At 51.3% G+C, this 26,598-nt stretch overlaps 3 protein-coding genes and 1 long non-coding RNA gene across 10 annotated transcripts in view, besides 7 other annotated features; 3 read left to right on the top strand and 1 right to left on the bottom strand.

Moving 5' to 3' along the window:
* Positions 1-20,780, top strand: part of HNRNPUL2-BSCL2 (HNRNPUL2-BSCL2 readthrough (NMD candidate)) — a 37,123-nt gene extending 16,343 nt beyond the window's left edge. Inside the window, exons 14-24 of the long non-coding RNA NR_037946.1 lie at positions 3,718-3,933; positions 5,425-5,741; positions 8,493-8,574; positions 16,331-16,474; positions 18,245-18,379; positions 18,569-18,666; positions 19,621-19,762; positions 19,901-19,967; positions 20,175-20,255; positions 20,350-20,430; positions 20,521-20,780. This is a non-coding gene — a long non-coding RNA (HNRNPUL2-BSCL2 readthrough (NMD candidate)). The remainder of the gene's footprint in view (positions 1-3,717; positions 3,934-5,424; positions 5,742-8,492; positions 8,575-16,330; positions 16,475-18,244; positions 18,380-18,568; positions 18,667-19,620; positions 19,763-19,900; positions 19,968-20,174; positions 20,256-20,349; positions 20,431-20,520) is intronic.
* Positions 945-1,584: an enhancer, noted in NCBI's record as "active region_4840". NCBI's record gives its function as "activates an Ori minimal core promoter by ATAC-STARR-seq in GM12878 lymphoblastoid cells {active_cell/tissue: GM12878}" and the evidence as "EXISTENCE:reporter gene assay evidence [ECO:0000049][PMID:35858748]".
* BSCL2 (BSCL2 lipid droplet biogenesis associated, seipin) lies at positions 1,505-20,780 on the top strand. 5 transcript variants are annotated; one of them, NM_001386028.1, is made up of 12 exons: positions 1,505-1,895; positions 3,718-3,933; positions 5,425-5,741; positions 8,493-8,574; positions 16,331-16,474; positions 18,245-18,379; positions 18,569-18,666; positions 19,621-19,762; positions 19,901-19,967; positions 20,175-20,255; positions 20,350-20,430; positions 20,521-20,767. In NM_001386028.1, the coding sequence occupies exons 2-12, from the start codon at positions 3,847-3,849 to the stop codon at positions 20,673-20,675; spliced, it is 1,389 nt and encodes a 462-aa protein (NP_001372957.1). In that variant the 5' UTR covers positions 1,505-1,895; positions 3,718-3,846; the 3' UTR covers positions 20,676-20,767. The 5 variants fall into 5 exon arrangements, with proteins under 5 accessions (NP_001372957.1, NP_001372956.1, NP_001116427.1 ...); NM_001386027.1 differs by having other exon boundaries at positions 20,169-20,255; NM_001122955.4 differs by lacking the exon at positions 1,505-1,895 and having other exon boundaries at positions 3,618-3,933.
* Positions 1,715-2,914: an enhancer, noted in NCBI's record as "CDK7 strongly-dependent group 2 enhancer chr11:62475600-62476799 (GRCh37/hg19 assembly coordinates)". NCBI's record gives its function as "activates an origin of replication core promoter dependent on BRD2, BRD4, P300/CBP, MED14 and CDK7 cofactors, with strong dependence on CDK7, by STARR-seq in HCT116 cells {active_cell/tissue: HCT116}" and the evidence as "EXISTENCE:reporter gene assay evidence [ECO:0000049][PMID:35650434]".
* GNG3 (G protein subunit gamma 3) lies at positions 1,841-4,596 on the bottom strand. 3 transcript variants are annotated; one of them, XM_047426794.1, is made up of 4 exons: positions 4,339-4,596; positions 3,127-3,342; positions 2,648-2,747; positions 1,841-2,364 (listed from the first exon to the last, which is right to left on the bottom strand). In XM_047426794.1, the coding sequence occupies exons 3-4, from the start codon at positions 2,744-2,746 to the stop codon at positions 2,236-2,238; spliced, it is 228 nt and encodes a 75-aa protein (XP_047282750.1). In that variant the 5' UTR covers position 2,747; positions 3,127-3,342; positions 4,339-4,596; the 3' UTR covers positions 1,841-2,235. The 3 variants fall into 3 exon arrangements, with proteins under 3 accessions (XP_047282750.1, XP_006718563.1, NP_036334.1); XM_006718500.3 differs by lacking the exon at positions 4,339-4,596 and adding an exon at positions 3,695-3,787; NM_012202.5 differs by lacking the exon at positions 4,339-4,596 and having other exon boundaries at positions 3,127-3,366.
* Positions 4,234-4,907: an enhancer, noted in NCBI's record as "H3K27ac-H3K4me1 hESC enhancer chr11:62473607-62474280 (GRCh37/hg19 assembly coordinates)". NCBI's record gives its function as "activates a minimal SCP1, AML or CMV promoter by ChIP-STARR-seq in naive and primed H9 embryonic stem cells {active_cell/tissue: H9 hESC(naive and primed)}" and the evidence as "EXISTENCE:reporter gene assay evidence [ECO:0000049][PMID:30033119]".
* Positions 4,234-4,914: a biological region, named in NCBI's record as "H3K27ac-H3K4me1 hESC enhancer GRCh37_chr11:62473607-62474280".
* Positions 4,575-4,914: a silencer, noted in NCBI's record as "silent region_3426". NCBI's record gives its function as "represses an Ori minimal core promoter by ATAC-STARR-seq in GM12878 lymphoblastoid cells {active_cell/tissue: GM12878}" and the evidence as "EXISTENCE:reporter gene assay evidence [ECO:0000049][PMID:35858748]".
* Positions 12,218-12,810: an enhancer, noted in NCBI's record as "H3K27ac-H3K4me1 hESC enhancer chr11:62465704-62466296 (GRCh37/hg19 assembly coordinates)". NCBI's record gives its function as "activates a minimal SCP1, AML or CMV promoter by ChIP-STARR-seq in naive H9 embryonic stem cells {active_cell/tissue: H9 hESC(naive)}" and the evidence as "EXISTENCE:reporter gene assay evidence [ECO:0000049][PMID:30033119]".
* LRRN4CL (LRRN4 C-terminal like) lies at positions 21,512-24,636 on the top strand. Its single transcript, NM_203422.4, has 2 exons — positions 21,512-21,615; positions 22,529-24,636. The coding sequence occupies exon 2, from the start codon at positions 22,534-22,536 to the stop codon at positions 23,248-23,250; it is 717 nt and encodes a 238-aa protein (NP_981967.1). The 5' UTR covers positions 21,512-21,615; positions 22,529-22,533; the 3' UTR covers positions 23,251-24,636.
* Positions 22,984-23,484: an enhancer, noted in NCBI's record as "H3K4me1 hESC enhancer chr11:62455030-62455530 (GRCh37/hg19 assembly coordinates)". NCBI's record gives its function as "activates a minimal SCP1, AML or CMV promoter by ChIP-STARR-seq in naive H9 embryonic stem cells {active_cell/tissue: H9 hESC(naive)}" and the evidence as "EXISTENCE:reporter gene assay evidence [ECO:0000049][PMID:30033119]".

The raw sequence follows: 26,598 nt of genomic DNA, 5'->3' as shown, positions 1-26,598 counted from the left end.
AGCTGTTGTGGAAAATTTCACTTACTCCCCTGGAACTTGCCCAACACCGTGATACAGTGGGGGTGAGGGAGGCAAGGTGCTTGGTCCCTGCCATGCCACATTTGCCATTTAAGCATGTACAGTACAATCTATTCATTGGGTATTTGGGTGCCTGATATGTGCCATTATCAGGATACAGGGATTAAAACGGACCTGACCTGATTGATCCTTCCTGGAATTTTCACCGTGCCAAGAAGGAACTGAGGCTCCTCCGCAACAGAATGGGGGTAGGGTCCCACTCCAGGAGGGCAAACTTCTCCCGTTTCTTCATCTCTAGGATGAGGGAATTAATTAGAAGATCTCCAGGACTTCTTAGAGCTCAGAAGTTCCATCAACAGTAAAAAGTTGCTTGGGACACCTTAAGGTGACCCAAGTTCACTGGGTGTCCCTGGAATTCATGAAGATATCCTTAGGAGGCTAAGTTCAGTTGCTGGTGATAACAACCTTTCTTCCTTTGGTTTCCTTTATCCACTTTGCTGTCTTCTGTGCAAAGATACCTGGAAGCTGGAGGTAATGAGCTGTCCCTACTATTTCAAAGCAGCCTCCCTTCCCGAAGTATATCCAGGCACAAAACAGGAGCCAGCCTAGGCTTTTCCTGGGGAGGATGCGTCCCTGAGTTTAGGGGACCTCTAGCAGGAGCACACGTACTGGGATTGTTACGTTCTTTGTCTTGTCCCTGGTCCCATCTCGCCTCTGTGCACCCTTGGAAGGAAAAGATTCTAGGAGGCATTCTGGTGTTCGTAAACCTCCGCCATGTTTGAGTCCTGGAGATGACCATGACATGTTAAGCCTTAAGTTTGGTCCCTGCCCAGACAGCATGCTGGACTTTTGCAAGGCACATTAGGGGTGCGGCCACTGCTTTCTGGCTGCTGTGGCTGAATCGGCCTGAGGGGAAAATGAAAGCAAAAACAAGCCCCAGTTCTACTAGGAAACCCAAACTGAGCAACTTCAGGCTTATCCAGCTCCTGGGAAGACCAGGAAGCAACTGAGGAGCGGTGCACCGAGACGGACAGGGTCGGGGGTTAACCCCCTGCCGCTAATATTTCCGCTCCAAAGGGAGCCTCTCCTTTCTTGGCAAAATGTAGAAACCTAGATTCCCTCGCAAGATCCACGCGACCAGCGTCGGCCACGCTGTACTTCCTGGGGTCCCCTTGTTTAGTGATTCTTCGTTATGGCCGCCCGTGTGCCTTCGACTCAATCGGGAGGACACCGAAATCCAGATTTCGGGGTTGCAGGGCGCGGGCCCCGGCTTGGTTAGGGCAGGGGCAGCCATTTTGAGACCAGAAGAGGGCGGAAGGGACCATATTGAGAACGCCGGTTGCCTGGGGGCCGCCATTTTAAGAGAAGCCCTGTACGGTAAACTCCGTGACGTGGGGGCTGCCATGTTGGTACGGCCATCTTGGAATGGGAGTGGCTGTGGGCGCAGCCATCTTAGGTATAAAATCGGCTCCAGTCGCGGTAACTGAAGCCAAGCTCCGCCCCTACCCTCCTAAGAGTTCCTCTGCTGTACGACTGCACTCCCGCACCCTCCCCTAAATCCCCCCTCTTCGGCCTGTTTACCTTTTAACTTGGCTTCGTTGCACGTTTGTGTGTGTGTGTTTGCTCTTCGCAGCCTCTTGAGCGTCTTTTGTACTTAATTCTTACACTGTGGACGCTCTCTCGCGCCCGCCATCCCCCGACCCCTCTGATCTCCGATCCTTGACGATGTCTAGCCTGCATTGATTGGCCCTTTTCCCTGGGTATGGCAGATCTATTGCTTGATGATCCTCTCCCCCCAAGAATTCTAACACAGGAGCTGTCCTGAGGCTCTGGATGACTTTATTCTTCAAATGGCTTTACCCTCCCAGTAGCTCCAGGTGAGACTGAGAGCAAGAACCTGGCCCATCCCTCTCCATTGTCTGAGCAGGTCACCGAGGGAAGCGGGCAGGACGCGCTGGCAGAGTCTGACGGGGCCCTGCTGTGGGTGGAGCAAAGGGTGCCTCATATCTCTGGGGTGCTTGGGGTCGGCCACAAAGGTGGTAGGAAATGGGGTCGACAGATAGGTGAGGGTGGGCCTTGTGCTTCAGATAACCTCACATGGTCAGGCAAGGGTTAGGGATGGGATGCAAGGAGCCTAAGGGGCTCACAACAATTACTGACCTAAGGAAGGGCCCAGGAGAGGGAAAAGGGAGGAGTTGTGAGAAGGGACAGGGGAGCTCAGAGGAGAGCACAGAAGAACTTCTTCTCCCGGAAGGGGTTCTCCGAAGTGGGCACAGGGGTGATGAGGGGATCCTCACAGGCGTGGGCATCACAGTAAGTCATCAGGTCTGCTGCTGCCTTGGACACCTGGGACACAGCCAGGAAGGGTATTGTTAGCCAGGACCTCTGAAGGGGACTGCAGCCTCCCTCCCCAAATGGGTTCTCTTTTGCCATCTCCAGGGCTCCTTACGACTTGTCTTCTCCCTCATCCCCCCCAGAGGCCTGGGGACAGCTCTCTCTACAGAGCCCCAGACTCCTCCCCTGACCTCAGGGAGTGAAGGAAAGAACGCATCTCTTATCTTGAGCTTTGGGAACCTGCAGCACAGCACAGCCTGGCCAACTAATGGGAGCCAGCCAGGGTCCCACCTACCTTTATCCGACACAAGCTGGCTTCAATCTTAAGCTGTTCCACCATCTTGCGTGCTTGCCCAATACTCATAGTGCTGTTCACCGGGGTCTCACCTTTCATCCTGGAAAAAAGAGGGACCTCTCAGAGCACAGTCTCAGCTGGAGGCCCCCCTCCATGCTCACTCCACACCAACCTTTACAAGGCTGTGGTCATACCCCAATATTTTGTTCCCCTCCTATCCTCCTCCTCCTCCTCCAGTGGACTGTCTCATCCCTGTATTCCTCATGGAAAAAAATAGGGTGGGATGAGGTGCTCCCCAAACTCCCTCATGGCCTGGGCCACAGATCATTAAACCTTACACAAATGATTTAAGGCTTTTCAGCCCTTCAAACCATGTGTGTTCCCAGCTCTGAAGACCTCAACCAACCCTGATGAGGAGGGCACATCACCCCTGTCTGCTCCAGTGAGCCCCAACAGGAGAAAAACAGGCCATTACTTACCTGAAGCCACAAGCGGCAGTAGCAGCCCTGGGTGTAGGGTCAGTGGAGGGTACCAAAACCTTCTGCCTGAAATGGGTGCCCCACCCAGTAGGGAGTTGCAGCTGAAAGTATCTGATGCAGAAGCAGTGACTATACGAAAGGAGGCCCCTGGGGAGGGCCAGGCCAGAGGTCTGGTCTCAGTTTCTGCAGCTCAAGCACTGTCTGGATGGCTGGTACCTGAAGGATGAAGGATGCTAGAAGGAGCTGCTCAGATCCTGGAGCATACCAACTGCCTGGCCAGTGGGGGAGCCTAGCTGCCTGCATCCCTGCGCACACCCCCACTGTCGCTAGTTCACTGCCTGCCCCTCCCCCATTGCAGGCATCCTGACTCTGGGCTAGAGACCTCCCCAACAGAGCTGAGGCCAAGGCCGACTCCCCCTCTCAAATGGCGTGGTCTGGGCCTATGACGGCCCCTGCAGTGGAGTCTGTACTGGCTGCGGGGGACCCTGCTCATTTGAAAATCTGACATCAGCTGGGCAGTCGCCCCCCTCCTCCTTTCCTCCCTCTACTCTGACACAGCACTTAGCACCTGAATCTTCGTTTCTCTCCCAGGGACCCTCCATTTTCCATATCCAGGAAAATGTGATGCGCCACAGGTATCAGCGTCTGGATCGCCACTTCACGTTTTAGCCACAAGTGACTCAGTGGAAGATCCAGAGTCAACAGAGGCTCGTCAGGAAGATGTCTACAGAAAAGGTAGACCAAAAGGAGGAAGCTGGGGAAAAAGAGGTGTGCGGAGACCAGATCAAAGGACCGGACAAAGAGGAGGTAGGGGCCCTTGTGGGGACAGTCAGCAGAAATATACTGGAAATAGGTGGGCTGGCGTGAAGGGGGCGGGGGGATGGATTGGTTTTAAGAATTTCATTCATTTTGAATAGATTACTTCCCACGCCCGCAGCAGTGTGCAAAGATGTACACAACACTGGCCTTGCCTCTGAAGGACTTTATCTGGGGTGATTAGACGTCTACAAAATAGAAGACTGCCAAAAGCTAGTCTAGATAATGTGCTGTGGGGACTCTGAGGGAGAGTGTATCCAGTTAGGGTCAGAGGAGGTCCACAATGCTACCACGCTGGGAACAGGGCACTAATCTGCCTGCGCAACAACGCAAGAGGCCCAGGTTGCCGCAAACTGCAACATGCTCTAGGCGAATGCCCCCGCCTTAGATGCCTACAGGTCCTAGGAGCTGTGGGCGATAAAAATCAGCGCCAGCTGGATGACCGCCTCACTCGGCCGCTTCGCGGGTGAAATGGCCTGTGGTGAAGGTGTGCACGGAGGGCTGTGATTGCAGTCTCAAGGGAGAGCCGAGCGGAGGCTGCAGTCAGCGCATCCCCTGGGGCACATCTTGGGGCCTGCAGGGAGGCAGGCGTCTTTCCCCTTTGGTCACGGTAACCGGAGGGAAACCTGCCGCAGAGAGAGCCAGTGGCGAGCGCAAGGAGACAGCGACCTCGCAGCTCGGGAAGGCTCCGCCCCGTCCCGCCCCGCCCCGCCGTGCTGGACCCCGCCCTGGGCTGAAGCCCCGCCTCCCACGGCTACAAAAGCGGCCGGCGGAGAGGGGCGGGACTTCCCCGGGAGCCGGAAGTCCCGTCTCACGGTTGCCCTGGCAGCGCGCGAGGCTGGTGAGTCGGCAGCCCTGTGGCAGCCGGCGGGCTGGTTTCCATGGTTGCACGATTAGGTAGGGGCTCCGGGCGCTTTGCCCACCCCCGAGCTGGAGGGGACTGGCGGGAAGCGGCGGTTGGCTGCAGGGCGCTCCGCCGGGCGTGGGGTGTAGCCGTGTCGGTGAGCGAGCTCTGCTCGAGGCGGAGAGGAGAAACTCGGGAAGCAATTGTGGCTACTCTAAGGCTACTGGTTTCGAGTCAGGCCGTGCGACCTTAGGCAAGTCGCACATTCTCTCCGTGCAGCTGCCTAGCAGTGTGGATTCAGTATCACCGTGTGTGTAAAGCTCTTTCTAAGAATCGTAAGGTGCTTATTCTTTGTTATATAGCTGTGAATGAGAATCAAGGTGGTTTGTCCCAGCATCAAATGACTGGAGAAGGAATTCCACTGAGGAGATTTAGCACTGGGCGGGAGGGAACACAGTGGAGGAAAGGGAAGGGGTAATTGGCAGAGTGGCACAATCATTTGGAGAAAGGCCATATATATGAAACAATGACTTTGCTATCCTGCTATCTCTCGTTCCTCAAAGCCAGTCCAGTAAGCTGTTTTGTCCCCACCTCCCTGGGGAAAGGAGTCACTCTTTTCCCTCACCCTCTCTTTCCAGGAACCACCAGCTGCTGCATCCCATGGCCAGGGGTGGCGTCCAGGTGGCAGAGCAGCTAGGAACGCAAGGCCTGAACCTGGGGCCAGACACCCTGCTCTCCCGGCCATGGTCAACGACCCTCCAGTACCTGCCTTACTGTGGGCCCAGGAGGTGGGCCAAGTCTTGGCAGGCCGTGCCCGCAGGCTGCTGCTGCAGTTTGGGGTGCTCTTCTGCACCATCCTCCTTTTGCTCTGGGTGTCTGTCTTCCTCTATGGCTCCTTCTACTATTCCTATATGCCGACAGTCAGCCACCTCAGCCCTGTGCATTTCTACTACAGGTGAGAGGGGCCTTCTATCAAAATAGAGGACTCCTATGGGAATTGTAAGGCCCTTGGAGTTCATTCAGTTCAATCCCCTCATTTACAGATAAGGAAAACTGGAGCCAGGTGTGCTTCCAGGGCCTCTCAACTTTCACAGCCCAAGGCTAGATTTGGGTTGCCAGGGCTAGGGTTCTAGTTCTACCTCTGATTACTGAATTCTGGTTAAAAAAAAAAAAAAAAAAAGGAAAAATATCCACTTCTATCATTATGAGGATCAATTCTATTTTGGTTGGATCACCCCTCTCTCAGGGCCAATGTAGAATTTTGAGCCAACTCAACCCTTTAGTGCAGAACCAACCTGGCTTTCAGTAGAGGAGCTATTAGGAAAGCAGCAGTTTGCTTTTTACATTACTGCCTCTCAGTCCCTGAAAGTCGGCTACACAATAGAGATTATGGAAACATAAGATGAGTAGGCGCATAAACTTGCTTCCCAGAGAGTCTTGCGTCTTGACTGGCCCCTTAGGTTCCTTCTCATTTTACAAACCCTGCCAAGTGCCAAATTCTCTCTTTTTTGAGGTGGAGTCTCTCTCTGTTGCCCAGGCTGGAGTGCAGTGGTGCAGTGTCTGCTCACTGCAACCTCCCAGGTTCAAGCAATTCTCGTGCCTCAGCCTCCCAAGTAGCTGGGATTACAGGTGTGTGCCACCACATCTGGCTAATTTTTGTATTTTTAGTAGAGATGGGTTTTTTTTTGTTTTGTTATTGTTTTTGTTTTTGAGATGGAGTCTTGCTCTGTCGCCCAGGCTGGAGTGCAGTGGTGCCATGTCGGCTCACTGCAAGCTCCGCCTCCTGGGCTCACGCCATTCTCCTGCCTCAGCCTCCTGAGTAGCTGGTACTACAGGCACCTGCCACCATACCCAGCTAATTTTTTTTTTTTTTTTTTTTTTTTTTTAGTAGAGATGGGGTTTCACCTTGTTAGCCAGGATGGTCTCAATCTCCTGACCTTGTGATCCACCTGCCTTGGCCTCCCAAAGTGCTGGGGAGATGGGGTTTCACCATGTTGGCTAGGCTGGTCTTGAACTCCTGAATGCAGGTGATCCATCCGCCTTGGCCTCCCAAAGTGCTGGGATTACAGACGTGAGCCACTGTGCCCCACCAAGGTCTCTTCTTCTTCTTCTTTTTTTTTTTTTTCTTTTTGAGACAGAGTCTCGTGCTGTTGCCTGGGCTGGAGTGCAGTGGCGCAATCTCAGCTCACTGCAACCTCTGCCTCCAGATTCAAGCCATTCTCCTGCCTTGCCTCAGCCTCCCAAGTAACTGGGATTACAGGTGCCTGCCACCACACCTGGCTAATTTTTTTTTGTATTTTTAGTAGAGATGGGGTTTCACTATGTTGGCCAGGCTGATCTCGAACTCCTGACCTCGTGATCCACCCCCTTGGCCTCCCAAAGTGCTGGGATTACAAGCATGAGCCACTGCGCCCGGCCTAGTTCTCTTTTCTTAACAGTGGTTGTAGGACCTATCAACAGATGCAGAGAAGGGCGTTATAATCAATGGTTTAAAGTCATTTTTTCCCTTAAGTCCCTGGTCCAGAGCTATAGTTTCTAAAGCAGAGCTTCTTAAACTTTTAGGAAATGGATCTTATGGCCCTTCCTGCCATAAAAACATATATACGGCCGGGCGCGGTGGCTCACACCTGTAATCCCAGCACTTTGGGAGGCCGAGGCAGGCGGATCACAAGGTCAGGAGATTGAGACTATCCTGGCTAACACCGTGAAACCCTGTCTCTACTAAAAATAAAAAAATTAGCCGGGCGTGGTGGCAGGCGCCTGTTGTCCCAGCTACTTGAGAGGCTGAGGCAGGAGAAATGGCGTGAACCTGGGAAGCGGAGCTTGCAGTGAGCCGAGATCGTGCCACTGCACTCCAGCCTGGGCGACAGAGCAAGACTCCGTCTCAAAAAAAAAAAAAAAAAAAAAACGTATATGCATGCCCAGGCATATGCTGCACCCACACCCCCACATGCAAATTTGCCTACAATTGGAGGGGTTCATGAGCTTCTTAATAACCATCTGTAGATCCTTTTGGAGGCGTTTTCTCAAACTAGGACCCAGACCAGAGCTACCAAATCAGAATCTCTTGGGGTGGGACCCTGGAATTTCCTTTTTTTTTTTTTTGAGATGGAGTTTCACCCTTGTTGCCCAGGCTGGAGTGCAGTGGCGTGATCTTGGCTCACCACAACCTCTGCCTCCCAGGTTCAGGCGATTCTTCTGCCTCAGCGTCCCGAGTAGGTGGGATTACAGGCATGCGCCACCACGCCCCGCTAATTTTGTATTTTTAGTAGAGATGGGGTGTCTCCATGTTGGTCAGGCTGGTCTTAAACTCCTGACCTCAGGTGATCCGCCCTCCTCGGCCTCCAAAAGTGCTGGGATTACAGGCGTGAGCCGCTGCTGCTTGGCCCTGGAATTTACATTTTTATCAAGCTCCTTAAGTCTTTAGAAACACTGAAGTATGCAACTATTTAAGTATCTCTAGATTCCCATCTAAGAACATCTGTTGTAATGAGAGGACATACATTGAAGTCATAGGAAGAGAATGAAATAATCCTGGTATCTTGAATCTCCTGGCCACATTTGTTCTCCATCTTTGTAACAGAGAGAAGGGTGCCTGTTCTGAGAGAAGGGAGGAGGGCAGGAGGGAGCCCTAGGGGGCAAAGAAGGTGTATGGATGGACTAGTAAGACTAACTTAGCAGAGTATCCTCCTCCAATCTCATTTAGGACCGACTGTGATTCCTCCACCACCTCACTCTGCTCCTTCCCTGTTGCCAATGTCTCGCTGACTAAGGGTGGACGTGATCGGGTGAGTATGGGAACTAGAGAGAGGTTTCATTAGAGCTTTGATGACTCAAAATAGGAAGACTTGAGAAAGGCCTAGAGAGAAGGAATTGAGTAATAAGAGACTGGCCGGGCACGGTGGCTCACGCCTGTAATCCCAGTACTTTGGGAGGCTGAGGTGGGCAGATCACCTGAGGTTGGGAGTTCGAGACCAGCCTGACCAACGCGGAGAAACCCCGTCTCTACTAAAAATACAAAATTAGCTGGGCGTGGTGGTGCATGCCTGTAATCCCAGCTACTTGGGAGGCTGAGGCAGGAGAATCACTTGAATCCGGGAGGAGGAGGTTTCGGTGAGCCGAGATCACGCCATTGCACTCCAGCCTGGGCAACAAGAATGAAGCTCTGTCTTAAAAAAAAAAAGGAGACTAAGAGGAAGGCTTTGAAGGAAAAGAAATTAAAATTAATTGTGTGTATTGATGGATCTTTCTGCAGCAGGTGTTAGAAATGTTCTTTCTCAACATAGTCCCTGACTTACGGTAATTCAACTTAAGAATTTTTCAACTTACTGTGGTGCAAAAGCGACATACATTCCTTAGACACTGTACTTCAGGTACCTATACAACCATTCTGTTTTTCACTCTCTTTCTTTTTTTTTTTTTTTTTCCAGACAGTCTCACTCTGTCGCCAGGCTGGATTGCAGTGGCGCGATCTCAGCTCACTGCAACCTCCACCTCCTGGGTTCAAGCGATTCTCCTGCCTCAGCCTCCCGAGTAGCTGGCACTACAGGAGCGCGCCACCACACCCAGCTAATTTTTTTGTATTTTTAGTAGGGATGGGATTTCACCATGTTGGCCAGGATGGTCTGGATCTCTTGACCTTGTGATCTGCCCGCCTCCCAAAGTGCTGGGATTATAGGCGTCAGCCACCACGCCCAGCCTGTTTTTCACGTTCAGTACAGCATTCAATAAATCACATGGGATATTCACTACTTTATTATAAGTATAGGCTTTGTGTTAGATGATTGTAATCAACTATAGGTAGGCTAACATAAGTGTTCTGAGCATGTTTAAGGTAGGCTAGGCTAAGTAAGCTATGATGTTCTTTAGGTTAGGTGTACTAAATGCGTTTTCAGCTTGTGATAGTTTCAACTTAGATGGGTTTATCGGAATGTAACCCCATCATAAACTGAGGACCATCTGTATCAGGTGAAGTATGATCTATTTATCTGCTAGGTAAAGTGAGCAATATCTGCTAGGTGAAGTAAGCAATGTTTTAGACCTAAATGAACAAATGAGCTATTACATTGGAATAAGATGGGCATCTACCCAAGAGTTTTGAAAGCATTTATATAACATTATGAAACTGTTGTCAAATATATGCATCGTGTCATTACAAAGGGTACTGTGCCAGAGGACTGGCCAGATGCCAGTGTGATGTCAACAAACCTGGGAACCCTGAGAAATGCATATGGGGACTGGGCCCTCTATAGTAGGCAAGCTAGAGGAGGCTCTCATAAAGGATACGTTCTTTTTTTTTTTTTGAGACAGAGTCTTGCTCTGTCGCCAAGACTGGAGTGCAGTGGCGCGATCTCACTTCACTGCAACCTCCAACTCCTGGGATCAAGCGATTCTCCCACCTCAGCCTCCTGAGTACCTGGGATTACAGGTGCCCACCACCACACCCGGCTAACTTTTGTATTTTTAGCAGAGACAGGGTTTCACCATGTTGGTCATGCTGGTCTAAAACTCCTGACCTCAGGTGATCCACCCACCTCGGCCTCCAAAAGTGCTGGGATTACATGCGTGAGCAACCACACCCAGCCTGAAGTTTTATTTATTTATTTATTTATTTGAGACGGAGTTTCTTTCCTGTCGCCCAGGCTACAGTGCAATGGCACGATCTTGGCTCGCTGCAACCTCTGCCCCCTGGGTTCAATCGATTCTCCTGCCTCAGCCTCCCAAGTAGCTGGGGTTACAGGCGTATGCCACCATACCTAGCTGATTTTTGTATTTTTAATAGAGACGGGGTTTGATCATGTTGGCCAGGCTGGTCTTAAACTCATGATCTCAGGTGATCTGCCCACCTCAGCCTCTTGAAGTGCTGGGATTACAGACATGAGCCACCATGTCCAGCCTGAAGTTATTTTTCAAAAGTGGTACTTTGGAGGAAACTGATGTAATGATAGAATGTCACACTTTTGAAGGGAGGAGTATAACCTATAGAGTCTGGGGTTCTATTTTATTTTATTTTTCAAGACAAGGTTTTGCCCTGCCACCTAGCCTGGAGTGCAGTGATACGATCACGGCTCGCTGCAGCCTTGACCTCCCAGGTTCAAGTGATCTCCCAAGTAGCTGGGACTACAGGTGTGTGCCACCATGCCCAGCTTTTTTTTTTTTTTTTTTTTTTTTAATTTTTAGTAGAGACAAGATCTTACTATGTTGCCTAGGCTTGTCTCAAACTACTAGGCTCAAGTGGTCCTCCCGACTCAGCCTCCCACAGTGTTAGGATTATAACCGGGTGTGGTGGCTCACGCCTGTAATCTCAGCACTTTGGGAGGCTGAGGAGGCAGGTGGGTCACCTGAGGTCAGGAGTTCGTGACCAGCCTGGCCAACACAGTCGAACCCCGTCTCTACTAAAAATACAAAAATTAGCCAGGTGTGGTGGCACAAACCTATAGTCCCAGCTACTTTGGAGGCTGAGGCACAAGAATTGCTTGAACCCGGGAGGTGGAGGTTGCAATGAGCCGAGACTGCTCCATTGCACTCCAGCCTGAGTGACAGAGCGAGACTCAGTCTCAAAAAAAAAAAAAAAAAAAAACCAGATAGGATTTTGCTATGTTGCCCAGGCTGGTCTCAAACTCCTGGGCTCAGGCAGTCCTCCCACCTGGTCCTTCCAAACTGCTGGGATTACAGGTATGAGCCACCATGCCTGGCCTAGAATCTTCTATAAAGACATTTATTCAGTTTGCTTCTATGGTTAAAAAATAATAAATGACTTGACTGGGCACAGTGGCTCACGCCTGTAATCCCAGCAATTTGGGAGGCCGAGGCAGGCGGATCACATGGTCAGGAGTTTGAGATCATCCTGACCAACATGGTGAAACCCCGTCTCTACTAAAAATACAAAAATTAGCCAGGTGTGGTGGCGCAGGCCTGTAGTCCCAGCTACTTGGGAGGCTGAGGCAGGAGAAAGGTGTGAACCTGGGAGGCGGAGCTTGCAGTGAGCCGAGATCGCGCCACTGCACTCCAGCCTGGGCTACAGAGCAAGACTCCATCTCAGAAAAAATTAGGGGCCAAGCGTGGTGGCTCACGCCTGTAATCCCAATACTTTGGGAGGCCGAGGCGGGCGGATCATGAGGTCAAGAGATCGAGACCATCCTGGCCAACTGGTGAAACCCCGTCTCTACTAAAAATACAAAAATTAGCTGGGCGTGGTGGTGTGCACCTGTAATCCCAGCTACTCTGGAGGCTGAGGCAGGAGAATCACTTGAACCCAGGAGGCGGAGGTTGCAGTGAGCTGAGATCGTGCCACTGCACTCCAGCCTGGCGACAGAGCAAGACTCCATCTCAAAATAAATAAATAAATAATAATAATAAATGACTTTATTGAGAAGAAATGAGAAAGCCACAGAACCTGGGATGGTGCATACAGTTTTGTGGCCCATTGCAGAGATCATAATGGGAAGGCAGAGAGCCAAGGGAGGGAGCCTCAAACGATCAGGTGTGAGGCTGTCACATGAGGGAGGGAGGAATAAAAGGAAGATGAGAGCAAATTCAGCCCATGTCCCTGATAATTAGAAGAGGTTGAACATTTTGTTTGTTGACAATGAACATTTTTAAATGAATTAATGAATGAAATAATCTGTCCACTATGTGTAACGGCTTGCTATAAGTAGATGTGGTCGCTGCTCTCAATGAGCTCACAGCGTTGATGGAAAACTATACATTGCATATGTTTGCATACATTTAAGTAGTAAACTGTAAAATGCGGATTCTGGCCAGGCATAGTGGCTCATGCCTGTAATCCCAGCACTTTGGGAGGCCGAGGCGGGTGGATCACCTGAGGTCAGGGTTCAAGACCAGCCTGACCAATATGGTGAAACCCTGTCTCTACTCAAAATGCAAAAATTAGCCAGGCGTGGTGGTGTGTGCCTGTAGTCCCAGCTACTTGGGAGGCTGAGACAGGAGAATCGCTTGAACCCAGGAGGCAGAGGTCACAGTGAGCCGACATCATGCCACTGTACTCCAGCCTGGGCGACAGAGTAAGACTCCATCTCAAAAAGAAGAGGCCGGGCACGGTGGCTCACGCCTGTAATCCCAGCACTTTGGGAGGCCGAGGCGGGTGGATCACGGGGTCAGGAGATGGAGACCATCCTGGCTAAAACGGTGAAACCCTGTCTCTACTAAAAATACAAAAAATTAGGTGGGCGTGGTGGCGGGCGCCTGTAGTCCTAGCTACTCGGGAGACTGAGGCAGGAGAATGGCGTGAACCCGGGAGGCAGAGCTTACAGTGAGCCGAGATTGCGCCACTGCACTCCAGCCTGGGCGACAGAGCGAGACTCCGTCTCAAAAAAAAAAAAAAAAGGATGTGGATTCTGCATTCCAGAAGCATTCGTGAAGAATTAGATCAGTGTTGTCTGGGATAGTCTAAGACCATGGAGATGGTGATGTTCAAAGCGGATCCTTTTTTTTTTTTTTTTGATACAGAGTCTCTCTCTGTTGCCCAGGCTGGAGTGCACTGGTGTGATCTTGCTTCACTGCAACCTCTGCCTCCTGGCTTCAAGTGATTCTCTTGCCTCAGCCTCCTGAGTAGCTGAGATTACAGGCGCATGCCACCATGTCCAGCTAATTTTTGTATTTTTTTTTTTTTAGTAGAGACGGGGTTTCACCACGTTGACCAGGCTGGTCTGGAACTCCTGTCCTGGTGATCTACCTGCCTTGGCCTCCCAAAGTGCTGGGATTACAGGCATGAGCCACTGTGCCGGGCCCAAAGCGGATCTTTTAAGGAAGGGTGAATATTACATGGGAATGTTAGAGAAGGGGGAGAATCTGCCCATCAAGCAGGCAATTGTGGACAAAGGCATGGAATTTTTTTTTTTTTTTTTTTTTGAGACGGAGTTGCCCAGGCTGGAGTGCAGTGACATGATCTCGGCTCACTGCAAGCTCCGCCTCCCGGGTTCACGCCATTCTCCTGCCTCAGCCTCCCAAGTAGCTGGGACTACAGGCGCCCACCACCATGCCCGGCTAATTTTTTTGTATTTTCAGTAGAGACAGGGTTTCACCGTGTTAGCCAGGATGGTCTCGATCTCCTGACCTCGTCTTCTGCCCGCCTTGGCCTCCCAAAGTGCTGGGATTACAGGCATGAGCCACCGCGCCCGGCCGGCATGGATTTATTCACAAGGTTTTAGTATTAAATTCTGTGGATCCCTTTGGAGGAGATTAATTTTTTTTTTTTTGAATTGGGGTCTCATTCTGTCACCCCGGTTGGAGTGCAGTGGCCCAATCATAGCTCATTGTAGCCTCAAACTCCTGGGCTCAAGGGATCCTCCTGCCTCAGTCTCCTCAGCAGCTGGGACTGCAGGCATGCACCACCACACCTGGCTAAGAGAACTACCTATTTTAATGTTTCAAAGAATTTGGGCCAAGGGCAGTGGCTCACACCTATAATCCCAGCACTTTGGGAGGCCAAGGCAGGATTGCTTGAGTCCAGCAGTTCAAGACCAGCTTGGGCAGCATAATGAGACCCCGTCTCTACAAAAAAATAAAAAATTAGCTGGGTGTGGTGGCACATGCCTGTAGTTCCAGCTACTCAGGAGGCTGAGACAGGAAGATCAACTGAGCCCAGGAGGTTGAGGCTGCCAGTGAGCTGTGATCACACCACTGCACTCCAGCCTTTGTGACAAGAGCGAGATCCTGTCTCAAAAAAGAAAAGAATTAATAGACTGGGGGAGTGGTTGAGGGGAAGAATTCATAGGCTGAGCAACAAAGCAAGACCCCTGTCTCTCCAAAAAAAAAAAAAAATTTTTAGTTGCATGTGGTTGCATGTGCCTATAGTCCGTATGGTCCCAGGTACTTAGGAGGCAGAGGCAGGAGGATAGATTGAGCCCAGAAGTTCCAGGCACAGTGAGCCATGATCATGCCACTGCCTTCCAGCCTGTGACAGAGCAAGACCTTGTCTTCACACACACACACACACACACACACACACACACACAAAAAGTTTATGAAGCAACTGGCTTAATCATCTGGTCTCTACAGGGGGGTAGGAATCTCATGGAATCCATTTTCTTCAACAGATAGTTTTTTGTTTGTTTGTTTGTTTTGAGACAGAATCTTGCTCTGTCACCCAGGCTGGAGTACAGTGGCACGATCTCAGCTCACTGCAACCTCCGCCTCTCGGGTTCAAGCAGCTCTCTGCCTCAGCCTCCGAGTAGCTGGGATTACAGGTGCCTGCTACCACGCCCGGCTAATTTTTGTATTTTTAGTAGAGACAGAGTTTCACCATCTTGGCCAGGCTGGTCTTGAACTCCTGACCTTGTGATACACTCGTCTCAGCCTCCCAAAGTGCTGGGATTACAGGCATGAGCCAACCGCGCCCGGCCAACAGATAGTTCTGACTGGCAATAAGAAGGTACAAAAAAAGGCCCCTATCAGTGGTGTCAACCATTGCCTTAGTGATAAACACTGAAAGCACCCCCAAGGCTGAACCCATGTTTTGGAGGTAGTTCACTATGGGCTAGGGAAGTATTTTCCAAATTTTTTTTTTTTTTTTTTTTTTTTTTGAGACAGAGTTTTGCTCTTGTCGCCCAGGCTGCAGTGCAATGGCGCGCTCTCGGCTCACTGCAATCTCCGCCTCCAGGGTTCAAGCGATTCTCCTGCCTCAGCCTCCTGAGTGGCTGAGATTACAGGCGCCTGCCACCACGTCCATCTAATTTTTGTATTTTTAATAGAGACGGGGGGTTTCACCATGTTGGCCAGGCTGGTCTCGAACTCCTGACCTCAGGTGATCCACCTGCCTTGGCCTCCCAAAGTGCTGGGATTACAGGCATGACTCACTGCACCTGGCTAACCTTTTTTTTTTTTTTTAACCCATTACCTCTAATTAAAAACAGAAGCTTTACCCTCACTCCTGTAATTTTTATATACTACTGTGTGAGGGCCTTGTTGCCAGATATGAATCAATAAAGGGGCTAGAAGAATATAGAAATAGGAAAAACTAGGGCATGTTTGGTGGCAAATCTTTAACCTCTTGAGGGTGATCCCTGTGAAGAAGCCTTCCTACTCTGAGTCTTGGGGCGCTACCAACAGAACCAAGATAAGGGAGCTAGAATGGCAGAAAGATGATCTGGAGCGAGGATGACTGTGCCAGAGCTGGCTGGGGAGACTGAGCACTGTCAGTGCTTGATTAATAATGTAAGAGAGGACAGGCTGGGCCCTGGGGACAGCCTCACCGGCCCATAGGCCAGAGTCACAGATGGCCCAGTTGGCAACATGATGGTTCACTTTTGGAAAAGAAACGTGACACAGCCTTTCTGGGAACAGGGTAGCCAGTCTGATTCAGGAGAGCCAACAGGATACCCAAGAACTGGACGTGAGAGGCTCTAGCCACCAGAAGGGGGCAGCACCTTCTTGGGATGACAGATTGAAAGGCCCGTTAGGCTACCCAAGAGGGTTGTGGCTGAGTATTTGGGGGCGTTGCGGGGGCTAAGAGGGAGGTGGAATAGAGACAGTACATTTTCAACAAAAAAATTTTTTTAAAGAAATGGGGGCTACCTTTGGCAGGTGCTGATGTATGGACAGCCGTATCGTGTTACCTTAGAGCTTGAGCTGCCAGAGTCCCCTGTGAATCAAGATTTGGGCATGTTCTTGGTCACCATTTCCTGCTACACCAGAGGTGGCCGAATCATCTCCACTTCTTCGCGTTCGGTAAGTGTTGGTGGCCTGTCTGAGAAGGTGTGGAGGAAGATGGCAGGATCAGAATGGGTAGGGGGCTGGGTGTGGTGGCTCAGGCCTATAATCCCAGCAGTTTGGGAGGCCGAGGCAGGCAGATCGCTTGAGCCCAGGAGTTCAAGACTGGCCTGGGCAACATGGCGAAACCCATCTCTACAAAAAAAGTTTAAAAATTAGCTGGGCATGGTGGCTCACGGCTGTAGTCCCAGCTACTCTAGAGGCTGAGGTGGGAGGATCGCTTAAACCTGGGAGGTTGAGTCTGCAGTGAGCCAAGATTGCACCACTATTCTCCCTCCTGGGCAACAGAGCAAGACCGTCTCAAAAAAAAAAAAAAAAAAAAAAAAAAAAGAATGTCTGGGTAGGGATTCCTCAGGAGAAAACACCCTTGGCTTTGAGGTCACAGACACATCAGGATAAAGAAGGGAATCAAGGCCGGGCGCAGTGGCTCATGCCTGTAATCCCAACACTCTGGGAGGCCGAGGCGGGTAGATCACCTGAGGTCCAGAGTTCGAGACCAGCCTGACCAACATGGAGAAATCCCGTCTCTACTAAAAATACAAAATTAGCTGGGCATGGTGGTGCATGCTTGTAATCCCAGCTACTCAGGAAGCTGAGGCAGGAGAATTGCTTGAACCCGGGAGGCAGAGGTTGTGGTGAGCCAAGATCGCGCCACTGCATTCCAGCCTGGGCAACAAGAGCAAAACTTTGTCTTAAAAAAAAAAAGAGAAAGGAATCAGCTTACAAAACCAGAAACCTTTGCCAAACACCCCAGGTATCTCAGGAGCATGCCCAGCTTTGGGATTAAGTGTGAAGAGTGGAGCTGCTCTCAGAAAACAGGCTTTAGAGCCAGACAGACATGGGCTTGTGTCCTCATTCAGAAACAAGCTAGCTGTGGGTCACCTGACTTAACTTCTTGGGTATAAAGTATTATAAAATGGGTATAATAGTAACTGCCTCATAGCAAGACTAGTTTGGATTCAATGGGGAAATGTAAAATTCCCATTAGCACATAGTGGCTGTTTAATGTTTTTTTGTTTTTGAGACAGAGATCTTGCTCTGTCGCCCAGGCTGGAGTGCAGTGGCGTGATCTCGGCTCACGGCAACCTTCACCTCCTGGGTTCAAGCGATTCTCCTGCCTCAGCCTCTCAAGTAGCTGGGACTACAGGTGCTCACCACTACACCTGGCTAATTTTTGTATTTTTAGTGGAGGTGGGGTTTCACCATGTTGACCAGGCTGGTCTCGAACTCCTGATCTCAAATGATTCAACCACCTCAGCCTCCCAAAGTGCTGCAAGTACAGGTGTGAGCCACCGCACCTGGCCTAATAAATGTTAAGACTCCATTCTTCCATTAATTAACAACACAACCTCATCATGAAGCAAATTCCTGATGTCTACATGATGGGGGGAAAGCTTCAGATGGTGCGCTGGGACTTAGATCCCATACTGGATTACAGAACTACTTGGTGGGAAAGGCAGATCAGAGACAGTGCTGGGCTTAATCTAGGAAGGTTTCTTGGAAGGAGGGGCCTTTGCTCTATAATAGAGTGTGGTTGAGTAGGGAGAGAGGTACTCAAGCAATTGGAATGGTTGGATGAGACTGAGGGGTAGGAAGTGAAGGTGAGGCAGCCAGGGACCTGAGGAAGAAGCCGCCTTCATAGACTACTCAGGGGTGGTTGAGGGGTAGGTAGGGTCATGGGGATCTGGCATGCACCTGTCCCCAGCCTCTGCTTCCCACCCCCGGCAGGTGATGCTGCATTACCGCTCAGACCTGCTCCAGATGCTGGACACACTGGTCTTCTCTAGCCTCCTGCTATTTGGCTTTGCAGAGCAGAAGCAGCTGCTGGAGGTGGAACTCTACGCAGACTATAGAGAGAACTCGGTGAGTGAGGTGAACGAGCTTTATGACTAGGAGATAGCCCCTCCCATTAGCCCAGGATTCTACCTGAGAAGCCTCCAGGCTCAGGAGACATCACAACTGAGAGACTGGAAGTGGGGCTCAGATGAGGCGGGTAAGAGTGCTAGCGGCAGGACCCTGGCCTGACGCCACCCTCACCCCACCCCCTCACAGTACGTGCCGACCACTGGAGCGATCATTGAGATCCACAGCAAGCGCATCCAGCTGTATGGAGCCTACCTCCGCATCCACGCGCACTTCACTGGGCTCAGGTGAGGGGCCAACTGGAGTGAACCTTGGGCAACTCTTCACGGGGGCTAACCTTCCACCAAGAGGGTCCCAAGCAGAGGTAATGGGTTTACAGAGCAGAGCTGACTTGGGTTTCACATAGGCCAGAGGGTCTCAAAGCTGCCACATATTGGCCTATCAGCTCCCTGGGGAACTTTTATCTAGGCATCAGAATTTTTAATTTTTGTTTTTTGTCCCCCCAACCCTCCATCATCCCTGTTCATCTTCCCTCCGCCCTGCCATCCACCCAGAAATCCAGGGCTAAGGGCTCCACCCAAGTGAGCAGAATTTTTTTTTTTTTTTTTTTTAAGAGGGGGTCTTGCTCTGTTGCCTAGGCTGGAGTGCAGTGGCGCGACCTCGGCTCACTGCAAGCTCTGCCTCCCGGGTTCACACCATTCTCCTGCCTCAGCTTCCTGAGTAGCTGGGACTACAGGCGCCTGCGACCACACCTGGCTAATTTTTTTTGTATTTTTGGTAGAGATGGGGTTTCACCGTGTTAGCCAGGATGGTCTCAATCTCCTGACCTTGTGATCCGTCCACCTTGGCCTCCCAAAGTGCTAGGATTACAGGCGTGAGCCACCGCGTCCGGCCTGTGAGCAGAATGTTTTAAAGCACCCCGAGGAAGGCTGATGGGCTGACAGAATTAAGAGCTACTCTTTTGAACCGTTGGCTTAGCAAGAGTTGGGGTGACTCTTGAGAGACAGACAACATTGAGGCTGTGGCATATGGCCCTCCCACAGGAGACTTCCCAAGGTCCTTGGCCTTTGTTAGAACCTGGTATAGCAGGTTCTGGAAACTGTGTGGGTGGGAGGCAGGGGTGACAGAGCCAGCTGTAACCAAACTCACTTGAATTGCCCTAGAAATTATTTCTGGGACATGAGAAGGCTGGTGCTCTCTGGTAACTGCTACTACCTTCTTGTCCCTACTTCCTGCCTCAGATACCTGCTATACAACTTCCCGATGACCTGCGCCTTCATAGGTGTTGCCAGCAACTTCACCTTCCTCAGCGTCATCGTGCTCTTCAGCTACATGCAGTGGGTGTGGGGGGGCATCTGGCCCCGACACCGCTTCTCTTTGCAGGTCGAAAGGGGCAAGGACCCCCTTTTGTCCCTTTGATCTTTGTGGGTGGTCAGGGGTATGTTGGGGATTAAGGCATGAGGGTCCTGATTGTTAGTGAGGGAAGTCAGTCCTGGCTGCTCAGTAGTTTTTCCTCCACAGGTTAACATCCGAAAAAGAGACAATTCCCGGAAGGAAGTCCAACGAAGGATCTCTGCTCATCAGCCAGGTAAAGGTGTTGGCTGGGGAGCTGTTGAGGTGGGCTAGGTTGAGCTGGGCTGGGCCAGAAGGAGTCCCTGCTTCATCCAGTATGAGGCTTAGGGTATCACCGACTGAGACAAGGGTCAAAGGAAAGGCGAGGAAGGTGAGGTTGGCACTGCCGTCCAGGCACAGCCACCCTAACCCTAACCTGTCCTCTCCCTCTTTGGAGGTGCAGGGCCTGAAGGCCAGGAGGAGTCAACTCCGCAATCAGATGTTACAGAGGATGGTGAGAGCCCTGAAGATCCCTCAGGGACAGGTATGGCGCAGCCACCACACTCTCTCCTTCCTGACTCCTTGGCTTTCTCCTTCAGTGTCTGGGTCTGACCCCTGCATTCCCCTTTTGGCTGCAGAGGGTCAGCTGTCCGAGGAGGAGAAACCAGATCAGCAGCCCCTGAGCGGAGAAGAGGAGCTAGAGCCTGAGGCCAGTGATGGTGAGGGGCATCCTGCAGCGTGACCTGGGTGGGGCCCCCGGTTAATCTAATATCCCATTTGAGATTTTGTTTTTCCCTTTCCTGGCCCAGGTTCAGGCTCCTGGGAAGATGCAGCTTTGCTGACGGAGGCCAACCTGCCTGCTCCTGCTCCTGCTTCTGCTTCTGCCCCTGTCCTAGAGACTCTGGGCAGCTCTGAACCTGCTGGGGGTGCTCTCCGACAGCGCCCCACCTGCTCTAGTTCCTGAAGAAAAGGGGCAGACTCCTCACATTCCAGCACTTTCCCACCTGACTCCTCTCCCCTCGTTTTTCCTTCAATAAACTATTTTGTGTCAGCTTCTTCCTTGACTCTGAAATGGGTTCAGGGCCATTTGAACACCCTGTGTCCCCCATGCATCTCTCACTTTCCGCCATTAGAGGGGAGGTCTTCTTGTCCAGGGGAAGGCCTCCAGACCTGGGCTATTTTAAGCACAGATGTTTCCATTCATAAGCCTAGGAAGTCCAAGGAGGGAGAAGCTATCCTGGCCCCTAGCAAGCTTTCCCACTCCCTGCATGTGACTTTCATCTCCCCCAGAGGAGGGGGATGGTGTAGGGCAGGTCTGCAGAGCTGGGAGACATCATTCTGGCCCCCTCTACACCCCTCCCTTCCTCCCTTCCTCCCTTTCTCTGTCCATTGGGAGGCAGAAGACAGGAAATGACTGCCATGGATGTGGTAGGATTTTTACCAAAACAGCATTTTGCGGCTCAGGCCCGTGCTGTTCGCAGCTGTTTTCCTCTAATATCAGCCAGGTGGCCGCCTTCTATGTTCCCCTCCCCATCCCGTTGTATGACTTCAGCCTTCGGATTCTAAGCTCCTGGCTGCTTTCCACATTCCACTCCCCTTCCAGAACCCAGGCATCCTGGGCTCCAGCTGAAACCATTGCATGTGGCTTTCCCCATCCCTGGCCCCGTGACTCAGTCCCTCTGAAGGGAGCAGCCCTCTTTTTTGGCAATCACCAGGGAGGTGGGGGGAGGAGGAGGGGAGCTAGGTGGTGACATCACAGTCGAAGGTTATAAAAGCTTCCAGCCAAACGGCATTGAAGTTGAAGATACAACCTGACAGCACAGCCTGAGATCTTGGGGATCCCTCAGCCTAACACCCACAGACGTCAGCTGGTGGATTCCCGCTGCATCAAGGCCTACCCACTGGTGAGGAGCTGCTATGGGCCAGAGAGGAGGAGGGAGGCATGCAGGGGCCAGGACTCCTTGGACAGGATTTGCACAGATAGCAGGTGGGGAGGGAGGATTCCAGCGTCCCTATTTTTTTCTCTTGTTTTCAAAAAATACAGCTGTGCTTACAATATTTCTCCATTCTGTTCTCTTTTCTCAACTCTGTCTCCTTTCTGGGTTTTTGCCTGTGTCACTGACGGATACATGTTTTTGTTGAGTTGAGGTCTCACTCTTGTCACCCAGGCTGGAGTGTTGTGGGGCGATCATGGTTCACTGCAGCCTTGAACTCCTGGGCTCAAGTGATCCTCCTGAGTAGCAGGGACCACAGGCATGTGCAGTATATTTTTAATGTTTTTTAACTTTTTAATAATTTTTAAATACTTTTTAATTTTTGTAGAGATGGGGTCTCTCTGTGTTGCCCCAGCTGGTTTGGAATCCTGGCCTCAAGCAATCCTCTTGCCTTGACTTCCCCAAAGTGTTGGGATTATAGGCATCAGCCTAGGGGCCCGGCTTTGTTACTTGTTTTGCTTAGATCTTTTCTCTGGGTGGCAGCTAGTAAATATCCTACCGTTCTTCCCTGGGCTAAGTAAATCATGTCCTCCTCTTCTCTCCCTCAGCACTTTGTTTATTCATTAACTGTTTCTAATACTTAACACATGCTGATCATGCATCTGTCTCATGTGTCAGATCATGTTTTATTTTTTGTCTGAAACCAAGCACACAGCCTGGACTCAGAAGTTGGTTGACAAATGAGTGTGTCTGCCTCATTCCAACTTCTTTCCTCTTCTGATCCCCAGTTGCATTTTCCTGTCTCCAGAGATTGTGTCCAGGCAGAGGGCATGGCAGGCTTTTGGGCTGAACAGGCTTTATCTATCCACCCCTTCCCTTCCAGTCTCCATGCTGGGCTCTCCCTGCCTTCTGTGGCTCCTGGCCGTGACCTTCTTGGTTCCCAGAGCTCAGCCCTTGGCCCCTCAAGACTTTGAAGAAGAGGAGGCAGATGAGACTGAGACGGCGTGGCCGCCTTTGCCGGCTGTCCCCTGCGACTACGACCACTGCCGACACCTGCAGGTGCCCTGCAAGGAGCTACAGAGGGTCGGGCCGGCGGCCTGCCTGTGCCCAGGACTCTCCAGCCCCGCCCAGCCGCCCGACCCGCCGCGCATGGGAGAAGTGCGCATTGCGGCCGAAGAGGGCCGCGCAGTGGTCCACTGGTGTGCCCCCTTCTCCCCGGTCCTCCACTACTGGCTGCTGCTTTGGGACGGCAGCGAGGCTGCGCAGAAGGGGCCCCCGCTGAACGCTACGGTCCGCAGAGCCGAACTGAAGGGGCTGAAGCCAGGGGGCATTTATGTCGTTTGCGTAGTGGCCGCTAACGAGGCCGGGGCAAGCCGCGTGCCCCAGGCTGGAGGAGAGGGCCTCGAGGGGGCCGACATCCCTGCCTTCGGGCCTTGCAGCCGCCTTGCGGTGCCGCCCAACCCCCGCACTCTGGTCCACGCGGCCGTCGGGGTGGGCACGGCCCTGGCCCTGCTAAGCTGTGCCGCCCTGGTGTGGCACTTCTGCCTGCGCGATCGCTGGGGCTGCCCGCGCCGAGCCGCCGCCCGAGCCGCAGGGGCGCTCTGAAAGGGGCCTGGGGGCATCTCGGGCACAGACAGCCCCACCTGGGGCGCTCAGCCTGGCCCCCGGGAAAGAGGAAAACCCGCTGCCTCCAGGGAGGGCTGGACGGCGAGCTGGGAGCCAGCCCCAGGCTCCAGGGCCACGGCGGAGTCATGGTTCTCAGGACTGAGCGCTTGTTTAGGTCCGGTACTTGGCGCTTTGTTTCCTGGCTGAGGTCTGGGAAGGAATAGAAAGGGGCCCCCAATTTTTTTTTAAGCGGCCAGATAATAAATAATGTAACCTTTGCGGTTTAAGAGGATAAAATGGAGGATATTATTATGTGGGTATTTATATGACCTTTGTAACCATTTAAAAATGTAAAAACGACCTGACTTAGTAATGCGAACCTATAGTAGCAGCTACTCCAGAGGCTGAAATGGGAGGATCTCTTGAGCCCAGGAGTTGGAGTCCAGTCCAGCCAGGGCAACACAGCCAGACGCCCTTGTTTTTTATTTTGTTTTGTTTTGGTTTTTTGTTTTTTGAGGAGTTTCCCTCTGTCACACAAGCTGGAGGGCAATGGCGCCATCTCAGCTCACTGCAACGTCCACCTCCTGGGTTCAAGCGATTCTCCTGCCTCAGCATCCTAATTAGTTGGGATTACAGGCGCCCACCACCATGCCCGGCTAATTTTTGTGTTTTTTTAGTAGAGACGGGGTTTCACCATGTTGTCAGGCTGGTCTCAAACTCCTGACCTCAGGTACTCCACCCGCCTTGGTCTCTCAAAGTGCTGGGATTACAGGCATAAGCCACTGTGCCCAGGCAGACCCCCTTCTTTAAAGATGTAAAACCCGGCCGGGCGCGGTGGCTCACGCCTGTAATCCCAGCACTTTGGGAGGCTGAGGCGGGCAGATCACGAAGTCAGGAGATCGAGACCATCCTGGCTAACACGGTGAAACCCCGTCTCTACTAAAAATACAAAAATTAGCCGGGCATGGTGGTGGGTACCTGTAGTCCCAGCTACTCCGGAGGCTGAGGCAGGAGAATGGCGTGAACCCGGGAGGCGGATCTTGCAGTGAGCGGAGATTGCACCACTGCACTCCAGCCTGGGTGACAGAGCAAGACTCCCTCTCAAAAGAAAAAGAAAAAAGATGTAAAAACCATTCTTAGTTTGTGGGCCTTACAAATCAGGCCACTGGCCCATTGCTTGTAGTTAGTTGATCCATGTCATGCACCCTAAAAATGGCTCTGTCACTGTGAGTGGCTTCAGTAGGATTTTGAGAATAAGTTTATATTCTTGCTAGGTAAAACAAAACAAAAACGACAGTAATACCAAGGAATCTCCCCCCCCTTTTACCCTCCATTTGTGTTTATTGCATATCCACTATAACAACATTAAAGGACCTTTAAAAGGAAGTAATTTTTATTGTTTATGATTCCTTTCAAGTCACTGTCCACACACCCATTTTTCAGAGTAATATACATACTTTTGATTTTTTTTTTGTTTTTGAGATGGAGTCTCACTCTGTTGCCCAGGCTAGAGTGCAGTGGCACGATCTCAGCTCACTGCAATCTCCGCCTCCTGGGTTCAACTGATTTTCCTGCCTCAGCTTCCCAAGTAGCTGGGACTACAGGCGTGCACCACCACGCCCAGCTGATTTTGTATTTTTTTAGTAGAGATGGGGTTTCACCATGTTGGCCAGGATGGTCTCGATCTCTTGACCTCATGATCCACCCGCCTCGGCCTCCCAAAGTGTTGGGATTACAGGCCTGAGCCACCGCCCCCGGCCTTGAATTTTTTTTAATTAAACGAATGTAGAAAAGTCTGTTTTGTGTTACTACACAGTATAATCCTTACCTGTGTGGATATTATAACTTTTTAAATAATATATATGTATATATTTTATAGAGATGGGGGGGTCTCACTATTTTGCTCAGGCTAGACTTGAACTCCTGGGCTCAAATGATTCACCCCCCTTGGCCTCCCAAAGTGCTGGGATTACAGGCCATTCTAACTTTTTTTAATTATAAAAGTAACACATGGGCCAGGTGTGGTGGCTCACGCCTGTAATCCCAGCACTTTGGAAGGCTGAGGTGGGCAGATCATGAGGTCAGGAGATCGAGACCATCCTGGCTAACACGGTGAAACCCCGTCTCTACTAAAAATACAAAAAATCAGCTGGGCTTGGTGGCATGTGCCTGTAATCCCAGCTACTCAGGAGGCTGAGGCAGGAGAATCTTTTGAACCTGGGAGGCGGATGCTGCAGTGAGCTGAGATCACGCCACTGTATGCCAGCCTGGGCGGCGTAGCGAGACTCCATCTCAAAAAAAAAAAAAAAAGTAACACATAAGGCGGGCGCAGTGGCACACACCTGTAATCCCAGCACTTTGGGAGGCCGAGGAGGAGGCTGAGGAGGGCGGATCACCTGATGTCAGTTCAAGACCAGCCTGGCAAACAAGGCGAAACCCTGCCTCTACTAAAAATACAAAAATTAGCTGGGCATGGTGGCAGGCACCTGTAATCCCAGCTACTGGGAAGGCTCAGGCAGGAGAATCACTTGAACCAGGGAGGTGGAGGTTACAGTGAGCCAAGATCATGCCACAGCACTCCAGCCTGGAAGACAGAGCAAGACTCCGTCTCAAAAACAGTAAATAAATAAATAAAAATTTAAGCCGGGCGCGATGGCTCACACCTGTAATCCTAGCACTTTGGGAGGCCGAGGCGGGCGGATCTCGAGGTCAGGAGATTGAGGCCATCCTGGCTAACATGGTGAAACCCCGTCTCTACTAAAAATACAAAAAAAATTAGCCAGGCATGGTAGCGGGTGCCTGTAGTCCCAGCTACTGGGGAGGCTGAGGCAGGAGAATGGCGTGAACCCAGGAGGCGGAGCTTGCAGTGAGCCGAGATTGCGCCATTGCACTCCAGCCTGGGCTAGAGCAAGACTCCGTCTCAAAAAAAAAAAAAAATTTTTTTAAAGATAAAAGTAACACATACAAATTTCAATTAATACTGAATAATATGGCCCAGTGCAGTGGCTTATGCCTGTACCCAACACTTTGGGAGGCTAAGACAAGAGGCTCGCTTGAGACCAGGGGTTCAAAACCAGTTTGGGCAAAATATCAAAACCTTAACTGTACAAAAAATTTAAAAATCAGGACGGGGGCAGTGGCTCATGCCTGTAATCCCAGGACTTTGGGAGGCCAAGGCTGGTGGATCACCTGAGGTTGGGAGTTCAAGACAAGCCTGACCAGCATGGAGAAACCCTGTCTCTACTAAAAATACAAAATTAGCTGGGCATGGTGGTGCACGCCTGTAATCCCAGCTACTCGGGAGGCTGAGGCAGGAGAATCGCTTGAACCCAGAAGGCGGGGCTGGGC

The sequence above is a fragment of the Homo sapiens genome, chromosome 11 (genome assembly GCF_000001405.40).
Source record: "Homo sapiens chromosome 11, GRCh38.p14 Primary Assembly".
Lineage (NCBI taxonomy): Eukaryota > Metazoa > Chordata > Mammalia > Primates > Hominidae > Homo > Homo sapiens.
This window is presented reverse-complemented; position numbering and strand designations above follow the sequence as displayed.

Excerpts from the sequence above, each read along its gene's own strand:
- GNG3 (XM_047426794.1), bottom strand. The coding sequence starts at position 2,746 with ATGAAAGGTGAGACCCCGGTGAACAGCACTATGAGTATTGGGCAAGCA. Across the intron at positions 2,365-2,647 it reads CCAGCTTGTGTCGGATAAAG|GTGTCCAAGGCAGCAGCAGA; the intron begins GTAGGTGGGACC and ends GCTGTGTCCCAG.
- BSCL2 (NM_001386027.1), top strand. The coding sequence starts at position 3,847 with ATGTCTACAGAAAAGGTAGACCAAAAGGAGGAAGCTGGGGAAAAAGAG. Across the intron at positions 19,763-19,900 it reads GACACCGCTTCTCTTTGCAG|GTTAACATCCGAAAAAGAGA; the intron begins GTCGAAAGGGGC and ends TTTCCTCCACAG. Across the intron at positions 20,431-20,520 it reads AGAGCCTGAGGCCAGTGATG|GTTCAGGCTCCTGGGAAGAT; the intron begins GTGAGGGGCATC and ends TTCCTGGCCCAG.
- LRRN4CL (NM_203422.4), top strand. The coding sequence starts at position 22,534 with ATGCTGGGCTCTCCCTGCCTTCTGTGGCTCCTGGCCGTGACCTTCTTG.